General features: G+C 43.9%; 1 protein-coding gene across 4 annotated transcripts in view; it reads right to left on the reverse strand.

The window, feature by feature from the left end:
• DIPK2B (divergent protein kinase domain 2B) overlaps positions 1–15,281 on the reverse strand; it is a 52,504-nt gene extending 37,223 nt beyond the window's left edge. For all 4 annotated transcript variants that reach the window (XM_006724559.1, XM_005272670.1, NM_176819.4 and 1 more), the window contains exons 1-2: positions 14,999–15,281; positions 6,156–6,420 (exon numbers count right to left, since the gene is read on the reverse strand). In XM_006724559.1, coding sequence (XP_006724622.1) covers positions 6,156–6,420; positions 14,999–15,231 — 498 coding nt within the window. In that variant the 5' untranslated portion in view covers positions 15,232–15,281. The remainder of the gene's footprint in view (positions 1–6,155; positions 6,421–14,998) is intronic.

Consider the following 16,102-nt stretch of genomic DNA (forward strand, 5'->3'; position numbering starts at 1 on the left):
TTGTCTGTGTCAGGACTGGGGAAGCCTTTCACTGTCTCATTTTCTTTCTTTTCTTTTCTTTTTTTTTTTTTTTTTGAGATGGAGTCTCGCTCTGTTGCCCAGGCTGGAGTGCAGTGGCGCAGTCTCGGCTCACTGCAACCTCCGCCTCCTGGGTTCACACCATTCTCCTGCCTCAGCCTCCCGAGTAGCTGAGACTACAGGTGCCTGCCACCACGCCTGGCTAATTTTTTGTATTTTTAGTAGAGACAGAGTTTCACCATGTTAGCCAGGATGGTCTCGATCTCCTGACCTCGTGATCCGCCCGCCTCGGCCTCCCAAAGTGCTGGGATTACAGGCGTGAGCCACCGCGCCCGGCCGACTGTCTCATTTTCATTCGTGAGCTCCATCAAGAATAATTTAGGGGTAATTTGAGTGGGCACAGTGGGTGATTATTAGTCCCTTTTCTATGAGACTGTGACACAATGGAATTTGGAAATGAGCAGGTTAGTCTCTGACCCATTCCAAGTAACCTCTTTGCCACAAATGTTGAGATAGCAAAGTTTTCATGGTTGTAATCTTAAATAAATTAGATGATTCAAAATCTTAGTTGTTTCAACTCTGAACATTTCCAATTCCATGACTGGAAGGAGAAAATGGGCTGAGAGGGGACTTATCTATTCCATAATGTCTGTCCAGTTGGTTCCCCAAACTCCCACGGGCAACAAACACAGCACTCTGAATACCTCCCAAGGGTCACAGGAACGGGGTCTCATGATTTCAGTGTTGATGTACCTCTGAAGGGGCTCTGTTCCTCCAAGACCATTCAGCCAGAGGATGTGCGCTGATATCCAGGGAATATTGCCTTGTGTGATACTGTGGAGGCATTCTTAGCTGCTTAAATTTCCTTTTCCACTAATAGTCATTTCATCTTTGACTCCAATGTTAGATGTGTGTGAAAATAATACAGCCACCAGTCAGCCTATTTTTTCTTTTTCAGCACCAATATAGTCATGTTCTTTGTTAAAACAAACAAACAAACAAGCAAATGGAAATTTTTTGAAGCATCCTTGACCTAGTAGCCTGTGAGGCATTAAAATATTTACAGTCTGAAAACCAGCTGTGAATCCAACATAAAATTTTCATTTTCATTAAAACACTTTATCACAGGGTGTCTTGTATCAGAACGAATCGAATATGGTCTATCTCCCTCACTGGGGTGTCATCTCCCAGAGTGCAAAGACCTTGTCTTGATACCCTTATGCCCTCCTAGCGCCTAGCACAGGTCCTATAACCATCCCTTACATATTTTTGAGTTACATTTAAACAAAAGTGAATTTCACTTGTTTACTAGTTCATCGGAACCCACATTTAGATTATATAATGAACATGCATTTTGGTTAATTTGCTGATTTCCCTTATTCTATGCATTTTAAAAAATAATGGAAACATAGGAAGTAAAATAGCCAATCATCCTCGTTTAAACAAAGCTGACTGAACACTCTGTACTGCCATCTAGTGGGGGGAAAGGCTCTGCGGCCATCTAGTGTATTCCCGTTTGGAGGAACACACTGCTTAGAACAATGTCAGATCGGATCGTAGTTGAGGGGATGGGAGCGGGACACAGTGGAGGATATGTGTTTTCCCCTGATTAGCCTCCAGCTGCCTAGGGTGGTTGCCTCTTTGCCCTTGGCATAAAAGCAGAGGAAGCCTTCTTTGTGGTTTTGTGAACAAGCACCTTATCATAAACTCTGAGCAGTGTTCTTGGCTGTGTTTCTGTTTGTGGGCTAGTAATTTAGGCTGTGGGATATTCCCATCAGAACAATGCAGCTTTTAGAGGAGAAAAGTCACGATGTTATTAGCATAAGTGCTACACATGCTCGAGGGCGCGCGCGCGCACACACACACACACACACACACACACACACACACACACTGCATCGTTTCACTTTCTTCCTAATTCTTGGTCCTGTCGTCTTCCTTAGCAGCCCTGCCGTAGCTGTACTGCACTGTGGCTCAAGATGCAGTGTCCTTAAATACAAAGCTGCATTTGGCCCTGCAGGAGGGGAGCCCGGGACTCCCTGGCTCAGCCTCTGATGATGACTGCTGGGGCTTTTCATCCAACTTGACTTTATTTATTCATAAGCAGGGCTGACAGTCAAAGTTCTGAGGCCCCTGAACCGGCCAGATCCCTCCTCCCTTTCGTTTACTTTTATTTCTTTGATTTTTTTTCTCCTCTCATCTCTGCCTTGTCAGTTCTCTGAAAAGAGCCCGTGAGCTCCTTGTGGCATCTTTTTCTTCCCCTAAACACACAGCAACACACACAAGCAGATATGCACAATTGAAGGCTCTGGCTTAGATCCCAGTTGGAAAACGGCTCTTGAGGAAATCAGAGAAAAGCCACTTCAGTCACACACAGAGAGAATCCCAGGATACTGGCCTGACAGGTAGGCTGAGCCGACACTGGGCCATTTGGTGTGAGTTGAAGAATGAGGCAAATCTCCCAACCACGCATCCTATAATAGCTCCCCAGTTGGCTCTTGAAACTCCCATATAAATACAGAAAGATCATGATTTCCAAACAAGAAATTAGGACTCATGTCTGATGGGTTATCAGAAAAACGGGGTGGAGCTGTTTGGCCAAATCTGGGATGAATGATCACTCAGAGGTTTCATCTCTTATTCCAGCTGAGATCAAAGACAGAGGCTGCTAACTTAGAACACTATTGAGAAGAATTCTGGGGCCACATCTGGGTTTAGTAGGGGAAGAATGCAAGAATATATTAGGAAGAGCTGAGATAGTCATGCATGAACTAGTGAAAGCATCGCAATATTGGCTTTACATGCAAATGGCTTCTTAGAGGGCTAACAGTGAAATGCCATTAGCTGTTAACTTCCCGGCACAAATTAAATTATGACATTAGCTGCCCATCACAAGGCTCTAAGTGAATGGGTCACAGAATAGGGGAAGTTGTTTCTATGGCTTATTCTTTTTAAAATTGAAGTAAAATTCATATAACATAAAATTAACCATTTAAACCATTTTAAATTATACAATTCAGTGGCTTTTCATACATTCAGAAGACTGTGCAACCATCACCACTATCTAATTCCAGAATCATTTCATCACTCCAGAAAGAAATCCTGTACCCATTAAACAGTCACTCCCAATTCTCCCCTCCCCTCAGCCCTTGGCAACCACTGATTTCCTCTCTGTCTCTATGGATTTGCCTATTCTGGACATTGCCTATAAATTGAATCATATGTGTCTTTTTGTGTTTGGCTTTTTTTTTCACTGAGCACAATGTTTTCAAGGTTTACCTATGTTGTAGTATGTATCAGCACTTAATTCCTTTTTATGGCTGAATAATATTCCACTGTATGGATAGAATATATTTTGTTTATCCATTCATTGGTTGACGAACAACATTTGGGTTGTTTCTACCTTTTGGCTATTATGAATAGTGCTGCTATGAGCATTCATATACAAGTTTTTTTAAAAAAATAGATTTTGTCTCACCATGGTCCCCAGGCTCATCTTGAACCCCTGGCCTCAAGCAATCCTCCTGCCTCAGCCTCCCAAAGTGCTTGGATTATGGGCGTGAGCCACTATGTCCATCCCACATAGAAGTTTTTGTTTGAACACTTGTTTTCAATTCTCTTGGGTGAATAGGCGAGGGTATTTTTTGGCCACCTTTGGTGAAGACAGATCCATTTGAAACTGATAGGTGAGTTTTGCTACAAAGAAAAGAGCAGGTGTGGCTGGGCATGGTGGCTCATGCCTGTAATCCCAGCACTTTGGGAGGCCGAGGTGGGCGGATCACCTGAGGTCAGGAGTTTGAGACCAGCCTGGCCAATATGGTGAAACTCTGTCTCTACTAAAAATACAAAAATTACCCGGGTGTGGTGGCGGCACCTGTAATCCCAGCTACTCAGGAGGCTGAGACAGAAGAGTCACTTGAACCTGGGAGGCAGAGGTTGCACTGAGCCGAGATGGCGCCACTGCACTCCAGCCGGGGTGACAAGAGTGAAACTCTGTCTCAACAAACAAACAAACAAACAAAGCAGGTGCTTGGGTGCAGCCTGGATGAGGCATGAAAGTGAGAAAGAGTGTGGCAGAACACCCTGGGCCCGCTGTGGAATCCTAAGGGCAAAGGGTCTCTGGAAAGGAGGTGAGGAGAGATAGAGAAGATGGTGCCAAAATAAGATAGTAATGACCTTGAGCTTAATGGCTAGGAGAATGGGTTGGTGCAGAATTTACAAAATGGCTGCTAATATTTCCTTTTTTATAAGGAAGGGAAAAATCTATGGTGGAGATGAAAAGGTGGGTTAGGGGAGGGCCAAAGTAAAGTAAAAATTTTTCTGGTTTTGGCTGTGTCTTACCAGCATGTTGTTAATAGATGCTGTTTTGGCAGAAAGAAGAAAAGCTTGTTTAGCTGCATGTAATGCAAGATGACAAAATTGCTAGAGAAAATTTTAGCATAACAAATTAAAGAAAGGGATTCACTTATTATGAGAATACTGCTGTGCATTTCTATAGTGATGGACTTCTAAAGCATATTCTTGTCTATAAGCTCATTAGGATAAATGAATCAGATAGAGCAGGTATTATTTTCTGTCATTTGAGAAATAAGAAAATGAAGGCACCCAGCACCGCTCCTGATGAGTAGTAGGTATTCAGTCAGTATTTGCTAAATAAATGAAGCAGAGTCATATCAAGTTAAAGAATATCAGAGCTTGGAGGGTCTTTGAGATCATCCAGAAGCCCTCTTCCCACCTCAGTTTTGGAGAAGGAATGTCAGAGCAGATTGGGGAAATTTTGGGCTTAAATCCAAGGTCAATTGGTCAGGGAGTGAAGGACACAAGTCAGTAGTGTGTCCTTTGTCTCAGTACAGAGTGTCAGCATATCAACTATAATGCCGGGTGGTGATTTGTGCTCTTGTCTGTCTCTACCACTGAGCCACACGCTTCTGGGGCCAGAGCTTGTGTCTGATTCATCTTCGAATACCCAGGATGTTGCAGCACAGTTGATGAAACTTGTATGGATGAACAGGAATGGAAGCTCTGTGTTATTACTGTGTCTCTGCTCCTTCTTCTCACTTTGCCATAGCTTTTAGTGGCAGATACAAAACTCAACCATAATTTCCAGGCTCCAGGAATCTTTTCCCTATACCCTAGTGTCTACATTCATCAAAGTAGGTGACACAAGATGTACTCATAGAGTGCAGACTGCAAAAGATGTACCTGGCAGGTTGCTTTGGACTTGTTAGGCCCCCTGGGATAATCTCTACTGTACTGTTATTACGGAAGTATCTAGAAGGTGAGAGAAAGAGGACATTTTCCTTAGTTCAAAGCCCAATGCCAATCTAGCTACCTTAGGTAGAATCTCAAGTGTATCTTGCACACCAGAAAATTCCTTCCTGGCCGGGCGTGGTGGCTCACGCCTCAGTCCTCTGAGGTGGCATCTTCTGCGCAAAGGGGCTCAGCTAGATATGTGTGGAGGGCCATGGCTGTGCTGGTTGGAATGAAGAAGGATTGTACTTGAGATGATAGTACAGGAGGGAACCAATGCAGAATATGATGATGGCACCAGCAAGGTGCTGAAGTTCCCAGCACAGCATGCCCATGGGAGTGGGTGGGAGGCTGTCAGGTGGGAAGAGGATGCTGTATTGTCAAAGTTGGCTTCTGTAATGGCTGAGGTTTGGTTATTCTTTACAGTGGGAGATAGAAGAGGAACTTGGCTTTCAAAGTTGTCTCTCTGTATTTTGAAACAGGATATATATGGGAGCTTCTAAGAGAGAATACTCAGCTAGCCTGGCGGCTGGCAAAGAGCTGTCAGAGAATGATGCAGGTGAGTTGAGCCCTGGCAGAGGGGTGGACTGGCAAGGGTCATCCTGTCAGATCTTCAGGCCAGAGGTCGCAGCTAGGAACTTTCTCGAATCGTCACTGAGGATCACATCAGAGAGAATGAGAAATGACAGTGGGATGGAACCTTATAAGTAAACCTTGTTTAGTTCCTGTCTTACCGTAAGCCACTGTTTTATGACAGTGTTTTGTCACACTTCAGACAGACCACAGCTTCTCCTTTTTCTCAAACTGAGATATGAGATGGGAATGAATCTCTCTCTCTCTTTCTCATCATCCCCTTCACACCCCCTTCCCATGGCCTTCACACTCACCTGCACCAGGTCCGGCGTGAGGCGCTTGGCCTGCAGCCATTTCTGGAACCTCTCTGTTTTCCGCAGGACACGCTCAATGCTGCAGGTCTTTGGGGCTGATGCAGAGGCACAGATTCTCCTGTCTGAGATCTCGTTTTGATATTTGCTGACCAGTCTAAAGATCTCCACAGGGCGCCAGATTTTGGAATCATCTGAGTAATTTGCAGGATAAGAAAGCAAGGAATCGGGAGGCAGTCCAAGGTGGGAAGCCAGCCAGTTGTCAGATCTGTTGGAAGAATAGCCCTTTGAGGATTGGCCTGTGAGCTGGAGGCTCACAGAGCCCAGGGACAGGAAGACAGGGGACAATAGCCCAACTGATCCATTTCTCCTACTTAGACTGAGGTGTTCGAAATTCTTTCTGTGAGAGGACTATTTTTGCTTCTTCAAACTTACGGTAGTGTATATGTCATATCAGAAAAGGTGAGGGAGGTGTGAGTCACGCACAAACATTATCCTCTTCATACAACTGGCACAGAAAGACTAGCCATAGCTCTCTGAACTTTTACTCCCTGTAAAGATAGCAGCTTTACATACACTGACATTTTTGATTCCCCTAATCCCCAATTTCCACTTTACAAGGGTGGAAACTCAGGCTTATAGAGCTTAAGTACCTTGGCCAAGGTCAGACAATATGTTGCCAATCAGAGGTGCGGACCCCGGGCTGTCAGTCAGCAAACCCCAGTATCTCTCCCTTTCCCTACACTGATTCCCCAAACTGCTTACCCTCTGACCAATGGCTGGGTCTTGGAACCACAGAGGTTCTTGAAGAGGCTCTTGGGCCTGCACTAGGGAGACCACTCTACCTCCATACCCAACCCCAAGCAGCCCCATTAGTCTAAAAATTTAAGTCTTCAGCACCAACAAAGTCTCAGGCAAGAGTGACTACTAAATGGTCATCAACTTGGAAGCTACCTGGGCTCCAGGAGGTGTGTGATTCTACATGATGGCCTGGCCAGTCCTTAATCCTCCTGGGGGAGAGGCATTGGCTTATTTATTTATTTATTTTTGAGATGGAGACTCACTCTGTTGCCCAGGCTGGAGTGCTATGGCTCAATCTCAGCTCACTGGAATCTCTGTCTCCTGGATTCAAGCGATTCTCCTGCCTCAGCCTCCCCAGTAGCTGGGATTAGAGGAGTGCGCCACCACGCCCAGCTAATTTTTGTATTTTTAGTAGAGACAACGTTTTACCATGTTGGCCAGGCTGGTCTTGAACTGCTGGCCTCAGGTGATCCGCCCGCCTCTACCTCCCAAAGTGTTGGGATTACAGGCGTGAGCCACTGTGCCTGGCAGGCATTGGCCTATTATCACCTGCCAATTTCCTAGGCCCCACAGTTATGTTTTCTCCATAGTCATTTATCCAGCTGTGTGCTGATATTTCCGTTAGGGAAGAATGTTAAATCTCTTTTTGATTTGTGTATGAAAAACTACTCAGAAAAAGTTTACCTTCATTATTATTAACAATTGAAGGTCATACTGCAAATGAAAATCAGGCAGCATGTGACATGTTATATATTTAATTTAAATAAGAATATTTAAATTCTTATTATTGGGCATTATTGGGCCACCCCATGATAATGAGTTTTGGATAATGCGTTTTGGAAGAATTAGCATTTTGATTAGACCCAAACCCTAGACTGTGTTGTTTTTTTCTCTTACCTGACACAACTTTACCCTAAGAGACTGCAAGCTTTTCCTACTGTTTTGATGGCAAAGAAAGTCACACAAAAAAATTACAAGGGCAAAGAGGTCAAGGGACCTGTCCAGGAAACTGGACAGCCCAGGCCTCTGAATCCTTGAGTTATGCACTAGAGCTCCAGCCTCTCACATCTGGGAAGGTGCGCCAGTGGAAACTGTCAGAGAGCAACTTCTGCAATGCAGGACAATGCAAATTGCAATGGAAGTAGGCACAAAGGATTCTGTACAAGAACACTGGCATCAATGTATTTAAAAAGATGAAACAGTGTAACATTGTAATGAGTCCATTTTACTGGAAGTTTCAGGACAACTATGGGAAAAGATCCTCCCCTCTAGGTGGATAAGGAAGGGCCCAGGACCCAGAGACTGGCCTGTCTGCCTGTATCCTGCAGCTGCTCCTGCTCATGGAGTTTCAAACCCACCCCTACTCCCCACCCCCACTCCCCGGCCACTAAAGGGACTGGAGCTGGAAAGTTATCACTAGGTGGCTCTTTTAGATAACGATAAGAGTAACACGCATTTGTGAAACACTTAAGTGTGCCAGTCACTTTACTAAACACTTTATATGTACAGATTCATTTAATTGTTTCAATAAACCTATGAGGCTGATACTATTGTTAACATACAGATGAGGAAACTGAGGCACAGAGTGATTATGTCATTTGCCCAAGGTCACATGACCAAGAATTGGAGGAAGTGGCATTCAAGGCTCCAGGGCTTGCAGTGGGGACACCACTGGACCTCCATACCCAACCCCAAGGAACCCATTAATTTTTTTTTTTTGAGAGAGAGTCTTGCTCTGTCACCCAGACTAGAGTGCAGTGGCGCAGTCTTGGTTCACTGCAACCTCCACCTCCTGGGTTTAAGCGATTCTTCTGCCTCAGCCTCCTGAGTAGCTGGGATTACAGGCACACGCCACCATGGATGGCTAATTTTTGTATTTTTAGTAGAGACGGGGTTTCACCATGTTGGCCAGGCTGGACTCAAACTCCTGTCTTCAAGTGATCCACCCGCCTCAGCCTCCCAAAGTGCTGGGATTACAGGAGTGAGCCACCGCACTTGGTCCCATTAATCTTCATTTTGTTTCCTTCACCACTTTGTGGTTGCTTATTCCTTTATCACCCATTTTATGAATTAGCTCATAGAAACAGATTGGTAACATTATTAGGGGTTATAGGTGGCAGGATCCTTGAAGATTATTTTGTCCCTTCCCCATCTTGTTTTGAGGATGAGAAAATTGAAAAGAGAATTGAAAAGGATGAGAAAATTGAAAAGATAAAATTGAAAGCAGAATATATATGTGACCTTTCTGAAGACTCACAGACAATTAGTGGTAGAGGAGGGCAGGTCTCAGGGCTCCTGTTCTCCCAGTTGGTGGGGGTGGTGTGGGAAGAGATTTCTTGCCCTGTGAGACAAGTTCATTGTCCTTTTTTTCTGTCCCCACCTCCTAAGGAGGCTCCGCTGAGACGACAGCACTGCCTTGGCAGATGACTTGTAATGAGTGCCTGGGCAGGTTCAGTGATGGCTTGAGGCATTCCATAAGGACTAATTGAGACAAACAAGATTGCAGGATGCACTTCTCCCCTTATTCAAAATGGTAATAAATTTATTGCATTGAATGGGAAAAATGTATACTCTTACAGTGTTGACTACCTACTTTATTAAATAGAAGAATGTCAGTGAGAAAATGTCAGTGCTTTTTATTCACTAAAATGTTACTATCCTGGAATTTGGACAACCACAAAACAGAGACAGCATTCTCATCTTCCTTCTAAATTGAGATCATGGGCCTGACTGAAGTGAGGCTGGCCAAGTTCCTGATTGTGTTGAAAGATGGACAAGCAGAATTACAGTTTCTCAGAGCTGGAAAAAAGCAACAAGGCCATGTGGTCCAATCCCCCCAAGTCCCTCAACATAGGGTGGGGGTGTAGAGGAGAGCAACAGCTTTGGAATTAGAATAAAATGCCCTCTTCTCGTGCATTCTTCTCATGCTTGCATCTGGTCAAACATAAAGCCTGTAGATATGCCTTTCTAAATAGTTTTTCCTCCCTTCCCTCTTCTTCATCCCATAGCTCTGCACTGAACCTTTAACCCATTTAGTACCTTTCCAAAGCTCTCAGGCTACAGTTCATGCTCCTTAATTTAACTTAGAGCTTAAACTTAGTTAAGCTTAGAGCTCCTTAGTTAAGCTTAGAGCTTGGTTCACAATGCTCTGCCTGCTGCATTGCCTGCTGCATTGCCTGCTGCATTGCCTGCTGCTCTTCTTACAAGTTTGCTTTGGTCTCACCAAACCACTGACTATCCTTGGATAAACCACATTCTTTCAGGCCTCTGAGGTTCCAATCACCTGTCATATGCTGACACCTTTGTCTGAGACAGTTTCTTCCTCTTTCTTGTCTGGAAAATCCCAATGTAGCCCTTTAAAATCCAGATGGATAGCACCTCTTTGGAACTCACTCCCTCATCCCCCAGTTGGGACCTTCCCACACACTCCCATGATACCCTGTGTAAGACATTTAAAAATATTTCCTATACTCTATTTTAACCACTGATTTACTTCTTTGTCTTCCTAATAGAAAGTAAACTCCTTCAGAGCAAAGATTTGACCTCTTTTAACTTTGTAACTCAGTGTTCAGCAGAGTACCAAGTTAGTGCTCAACACTTTACAGGTGGATGGATGGATGGGTATTTAGATGTATAGATAGATAAGGGAGTAGAGAGATGCATGGAGGGCTGGATGGTGGGATGCACAGTGTGATGGTTGGGTAGAAGAATGCATGGAGGGTCACCTGAATGAATGGGTGGATGGATGGTGGATGGATGGGTGCATGGATTCATATAAGGCTGACTGAACGTGTAGATGGATGCTTTTGTCATAAGCTCTTGAGCCCTGTATTTCCCAAGGCCCCTGAGTTGATGTGAAGAAGTGAGTTAAGACAGTAATTATTGTCAACTTCTGAGGGCAAGGAGACAGACAAGAGACAAGGGAGAAGGGAAGGCAAAATCAGGCCTGACGATTTAGTTATTTTACTGTGAGCCCTCCACTGCTCAGTTGGAAGTGTTTAAACATTTTTTTTAGACTTTGATAGTGGAGGTGGTACATAAGACCAAGTGTGTCTAGTAAGGAAGGTGAGATTAAAGCATTAGCCCTGGTAAGAGCCTAGGAACTCCTAGGAATTATTGTGATTAGAGGTACTGCCACTATTTACTCTCCACCCCCACACCCTGCACGCACAATACTGACCAACCAGATCATGGGAGAATCTTACCAATTGATGTGACTTCTCAGGGTTTCATATATAGGTATATTGTCAGTAAGAAGAGTATGGCAATCAGACTTACTCATTTCCCTAGCTTCCCTTAACTTTTCATTCAGGATTTAAAAGTCAACATGGAATGCATGGGAAAATTAGTAATGAAAACATTCATAATTTTAAAGGTCAATGGTTGAGTATGGGCAGTATGTGATTCATCCTTAGCATTCTTGCCAAAGGAAAGATAAAGGAAAAAAGGAGAGGTGATGTCCATCTGCTAATCATGTGTGTTCAGCATATCCAGCCAGCCTGGGATACCCATCTACGATTTGTTGCTGAACAGATGCAAGCATTGTCCAGTCCTTAGTGAGGACTAGGACCTGGCTGTAGCATTTCAACCAAACAACTGAGAGTTTTGGATGGGCTTTCCCCTAAGATGTCATAGTAATCACCTTTTTTTTTTTTTGAGAGAGAGTCTTTCTCCTAAGGTGTCATGGTAATCACTTTTTTTTTTTTTGAGACAGAATCTTGCTCTTTCACCCAGGCTGGAGTACAGTGGTGTGATCTCAACTCACTGCAGCCTCCGCCTCCCGGGTTCAAGCAATTCTCCTGCCTCAGCTTCCCGAGTAGCTGGGACTATAGGCGTGCGCCGCCATGTCCGGCTAATTTTTGTATTTTTAGTAGAGACGGGTTTTCACATTGTTGGCCAGGATGGTCTTGATCTCCTGACCTCGTGATTTGCCCGCCTCGGCCTCCCAAAGTGCTGGGATTACAGGTGTGAGCCACCTCGCCTGGCTGGTAATCACTTTTTTAAAGTGGGAAAATGTTTGGAGATCCAAAAGAAGACAACGAACAAATACACCATTAGAAAGAGAGGCAAAGGATGTGAACCTGTAGACAGTTTAGCAAAGAAGAAATACAAATGGTCAATAAATCTGAAAAAGGGTTCAACTCAGAAGAAATTCAAACTAAAAAAAAGTACTAAATATTTGTAAGTGTGCAAGAAGTGAGCTTTATAAGTAGAAGCCTCCATTTAGATATATATATCTCCTTCAATTTTGTCTTTTTGACCCAGAAATTTCACTTTTAGGAGTTTGTCATAAGGAATTCGTCACTCATGTGCACAAAACATAGCTACAGGGATGTTTGACATAGAACTGTTTATAATACCAAAAAATGAAATAAAAAAACTCTAGTTTCACAGTGGTGGTTTTAATAAATTATAGTTAAATAATTAAATAAGTTATGCTTAAATAGTTAAATAAATTATGGTTGATTGATGCAATTGAATACCATGAACCTGTTAAAAATCAAAGTGTGTGGAAGATCATTTAATAATGTGGAAAGATGTTCCTGATATACTGTTAAATAGTAGTTTCCAAAAAGTATACACAGCATGTTCACATTTTTGTTAAAAAATTTCTTAATTCACACTTAGAAAAAGGGTGGCAAGGAAATGCAACAAAATGTTGACTAAGGGGTGATCTCTTGGTGGAAGAATTATATGTGATTTTATTTTGTGCTTTCTTTAATCAACCTTTCCTGAAAATACTAAAATAAACAGGCACGACTTTGATAATAAGAAAAAAGGTATTTATATTGTAGAGAAAAGGACTCTAAACAGGACCACCTCCCCAGACCCACTGACTGCCTCTCTCTGCCTCTTTGTGCTGAGGATGACCATTCTCAATGTGCAGAGCTATAAACCCCAATCTGCCCTGCCTGGTGTTTTCCTGCTTGTATCTGCACACTTCCCTTTCACGGGCACATGGAACATGAATTCTAAGGGAGATGAAGTAATATCCTGGACTCTAACGGAATGCAAACCTATTTAGGGAAATGCTTTCTGATTTTGGCTAGCATCTGCCAAATGCTAGTAAGAAAAACTTCATTTATTGCCCTTTGGTGAATATGCAGTCATCCTAGAGCTCTTCCTCAGTTGAATCCTTAAATTTCTCTCCCTCCTTTTAAAAAATATGTCTGCCTTCTTATTGCCTCTCTCCAAGGAATCAGCATTGCTTCACCTGTGTTCTTGGTCCTCTTTATCTCTTTTCCTAGGCGGAAAACCTTGAGTTCACATCCAACATCTGCATATTTATTTCCTCTCGCATAGTGTTGGTCAACAGGATGACTCTATAGCTGAACTGACCTGTATCCTTCCTGTTCTACTTTGTTCCCAGTGACTTGTGTCCTGGACTATGGCAACTGGTCTCACAGCCCCTGCCAACACCACCAGTCCGTCCTGTCCACTTTGCACGAGCTCTTCCCAAATCACAGGTCTCATGTTGCCCCTCCCCAGCCTAACACTCTCAGCATGGCCTGCAGTAGAGATTCCTCAATCAGTGGTCTTTCAAAAATGCCTTTAAAAACGCTTAATATGCCTTTAAAAAGGCTTAATAGGAAAAGTCCACACCAACTCCATAAAATACCTCACAAAAGAAGTTTAACATTTTTGATTGGTATTTCTATCTATTATTTCTATTTAGTAATTTGGTTGAGTAAGCAAAGATGTCTTTGATTAATACAGATTGCAAATAAAATCATTGTTAATTAATGCCTTTTGTTTGGTCACCAAATCTTAAAAGCGTAAGTTAGGTCCTTTGAGGAAGATGGAGGAGAAAGGGCATATATATGACAAAGGGTCTTTGGTACTAAAAAGACTGGAAACCACTGGTCCACAAGATTAAGGCCCCAATTCCTTGGCATGGCAATTAAAGACCCCCTGCCCCATATATCCCTTCAACCTCCTCCTCTGTCATGCCTCCACATACACCCCATGCTCTAGCTAAGCACCTCTCACTTCTTCCCACACCTTTGCTTAAGATGTTACTTCCACCTTAAGCCCTTCACTTCCCGTTACTTTTCAGCTCATCCTTTAAAAGGCTTTGCTCAGAATACCTTCTCCTGGGGAAGCCCTTCCCCAGTTCCCATTTGGAATTAATGGAGCTCCTGGAGGTCCTTTACACTGCCCTGCATCAGACAAAGCCTTATTATTATTATTTATAACATGACCCCCTTGTCCTGACCTCCAGGAAGGCAATGACCAGAGTTATAGTTGCTGTCACCCCAGTACCTGCTAGAGTTTGGCTGTGGTAAAGGCTCATGGACTGTGTGTTGATAGGCTTAAATTCCAAGTGTGATGCCATTCTTTGCTGAGAGCCATGTGCATTGCAATTTACTAAGCTCCAGTTTTCCTCTGATCAAGGCAATCTCTCACAACAGAAAGCTGGCTCAGAAACTTTGGAGCAAACCGTCCTGGTTTGAATTCCACAGCTGCTACTTATTCGGTGGTGACCTTGTGCAAGTTACTTAATCTTTTTTAAAAAATAAATTTTATTGTGTATATTTAAAGTATACAACACGATGTTGTAAGATACATATATATAGTGAAATGGGTCCCATCATCTCACAGAGTTACCCATTTCCCCCCACTGAAGTCACTTTATCTGGCTATGTCTCAGCTTACCACCTCAATAATGGGGGAACACCATTAACTCTCACAATGATTTAAAATAGGTGTCACATTGTAGGCTTTCTATAAATTTTATTTCCCGCCCACTGTGAGAAATGAACTTGATAAACTCAACAGTCCCAGGCTACTCCATTCATAGGAAAGAAAACTTCAAGCTTTCAGTTCAAAAGGAAATGTTGGATTTAGCATTTAGGGCTGGAATTTGGCTTCACATCTTGCCCTCTTACCCACCCCAACTTCAGACCATTACCACTCTGATTAAATGGATTTGTTTCAGCTCCCACCCATATTACATCCTGATTCCTTTTCAACAAATTCCTGGACATCTTCACAAGAAGGGAACAGAATTTTGTGATTCAGAGTTATTTGATTGATATTCTGACCTTATTTCTTCTTTAAAGAACTTCTTGCAAATAGATGTCCCGATGCAGGCATTGCATTTATCAAGACCGAGGAAAGTCCTTCCAAAATTGTAGCTGGTTCTGACTTGGGGCACCAGAGAAGAAAGGGAAGAAGCTGGCAAGGAGAAAGAACAGCTCAGGGCTGAGACCCACAGCAGCAGGGCCAGCCAGCCAGGGCGGAGGGCGGCAGCCTCAGGCCCCAGCTGGGGCTCCATCTTGGGCTCTGGGCTCCAGCTGCAGCCTCTGGCTGTCCACTCGAGGCTGTACAGAGGCAGGGCTTGGCCAAAGAGGAAGCTGTCAGAGGGGGCTGGCTTCTGGGTGCTGACCCCATCCCAGCCTCCCAGGTTTCTCTTTGAGGATGCTGAGGAGCTTGGGGCTAATGAGGCTGGGGAGGAGGTGAGGAAGTCAGTGGAGGATGCTGATAACGCTGTTTCCAGAGTTACTCTTCCTTTGCCGGGGGTGGCTGCTTCAGGCTGGGGAGGGGCTCGCTGGCAGATTTCGGGAAGGACAATTGTCAGGGCTTCCCTGTGTGGTCCTTTTGACAAACACAGGATATCCCGGCAGGGCAGGAAAGGTCCATGCAGGATGTGTGTCCAACCTGCGTTCCACCTGGGAGTTTCAAAGGATCCTGAAAGCCTCCACCCTCCACTGTTTTAATTCCAGGTTTATCTGTCCCTATGGATTACACGTGCACCCCAATTTTTGACCCCTCTGTGCTAGGTCATTTGTCCTGCCCCTTAATCAGCCCTCCTTCCCCCACTTTTACCATATTTGCCTGTGAAATAACTAGAGGTTAGCTTGCTTGCCATTAACTGGCACATTTAGCACTGATTTGAAAGCTTTTTGCTGCTTAGGGAAGAGAAAACCTCAGGTTAGTCCATCTTCTCTTGCTGGTCTGAGAACAAGAGACCAGAAAGAACCCGGTGGCCTCTGTGGCATGATGAGGGGAGCACCAGAAAGAGCCCTCTGACAGCACACAGCTGTGTCTATCCCTCTCCCACAGACCTGAAAGCTTCTCTTCCTTTACCAACTTGCTTCACTTCTCGGGGTGGCTTGGCCGGATTTGGTAGGATTTAACTGCCCCAG

This window comes from Homo sapiens, chromosome X (genome assembly GCF_000001405.40).
Source record: "Homo sapiens chromosome X, GRCh38.p14 Primary Assembly".
NCBI lineage: Eukaryota > Metazoa > Chordata > Mammalia > Primates > Hominidae > Homo > Homo sapiens.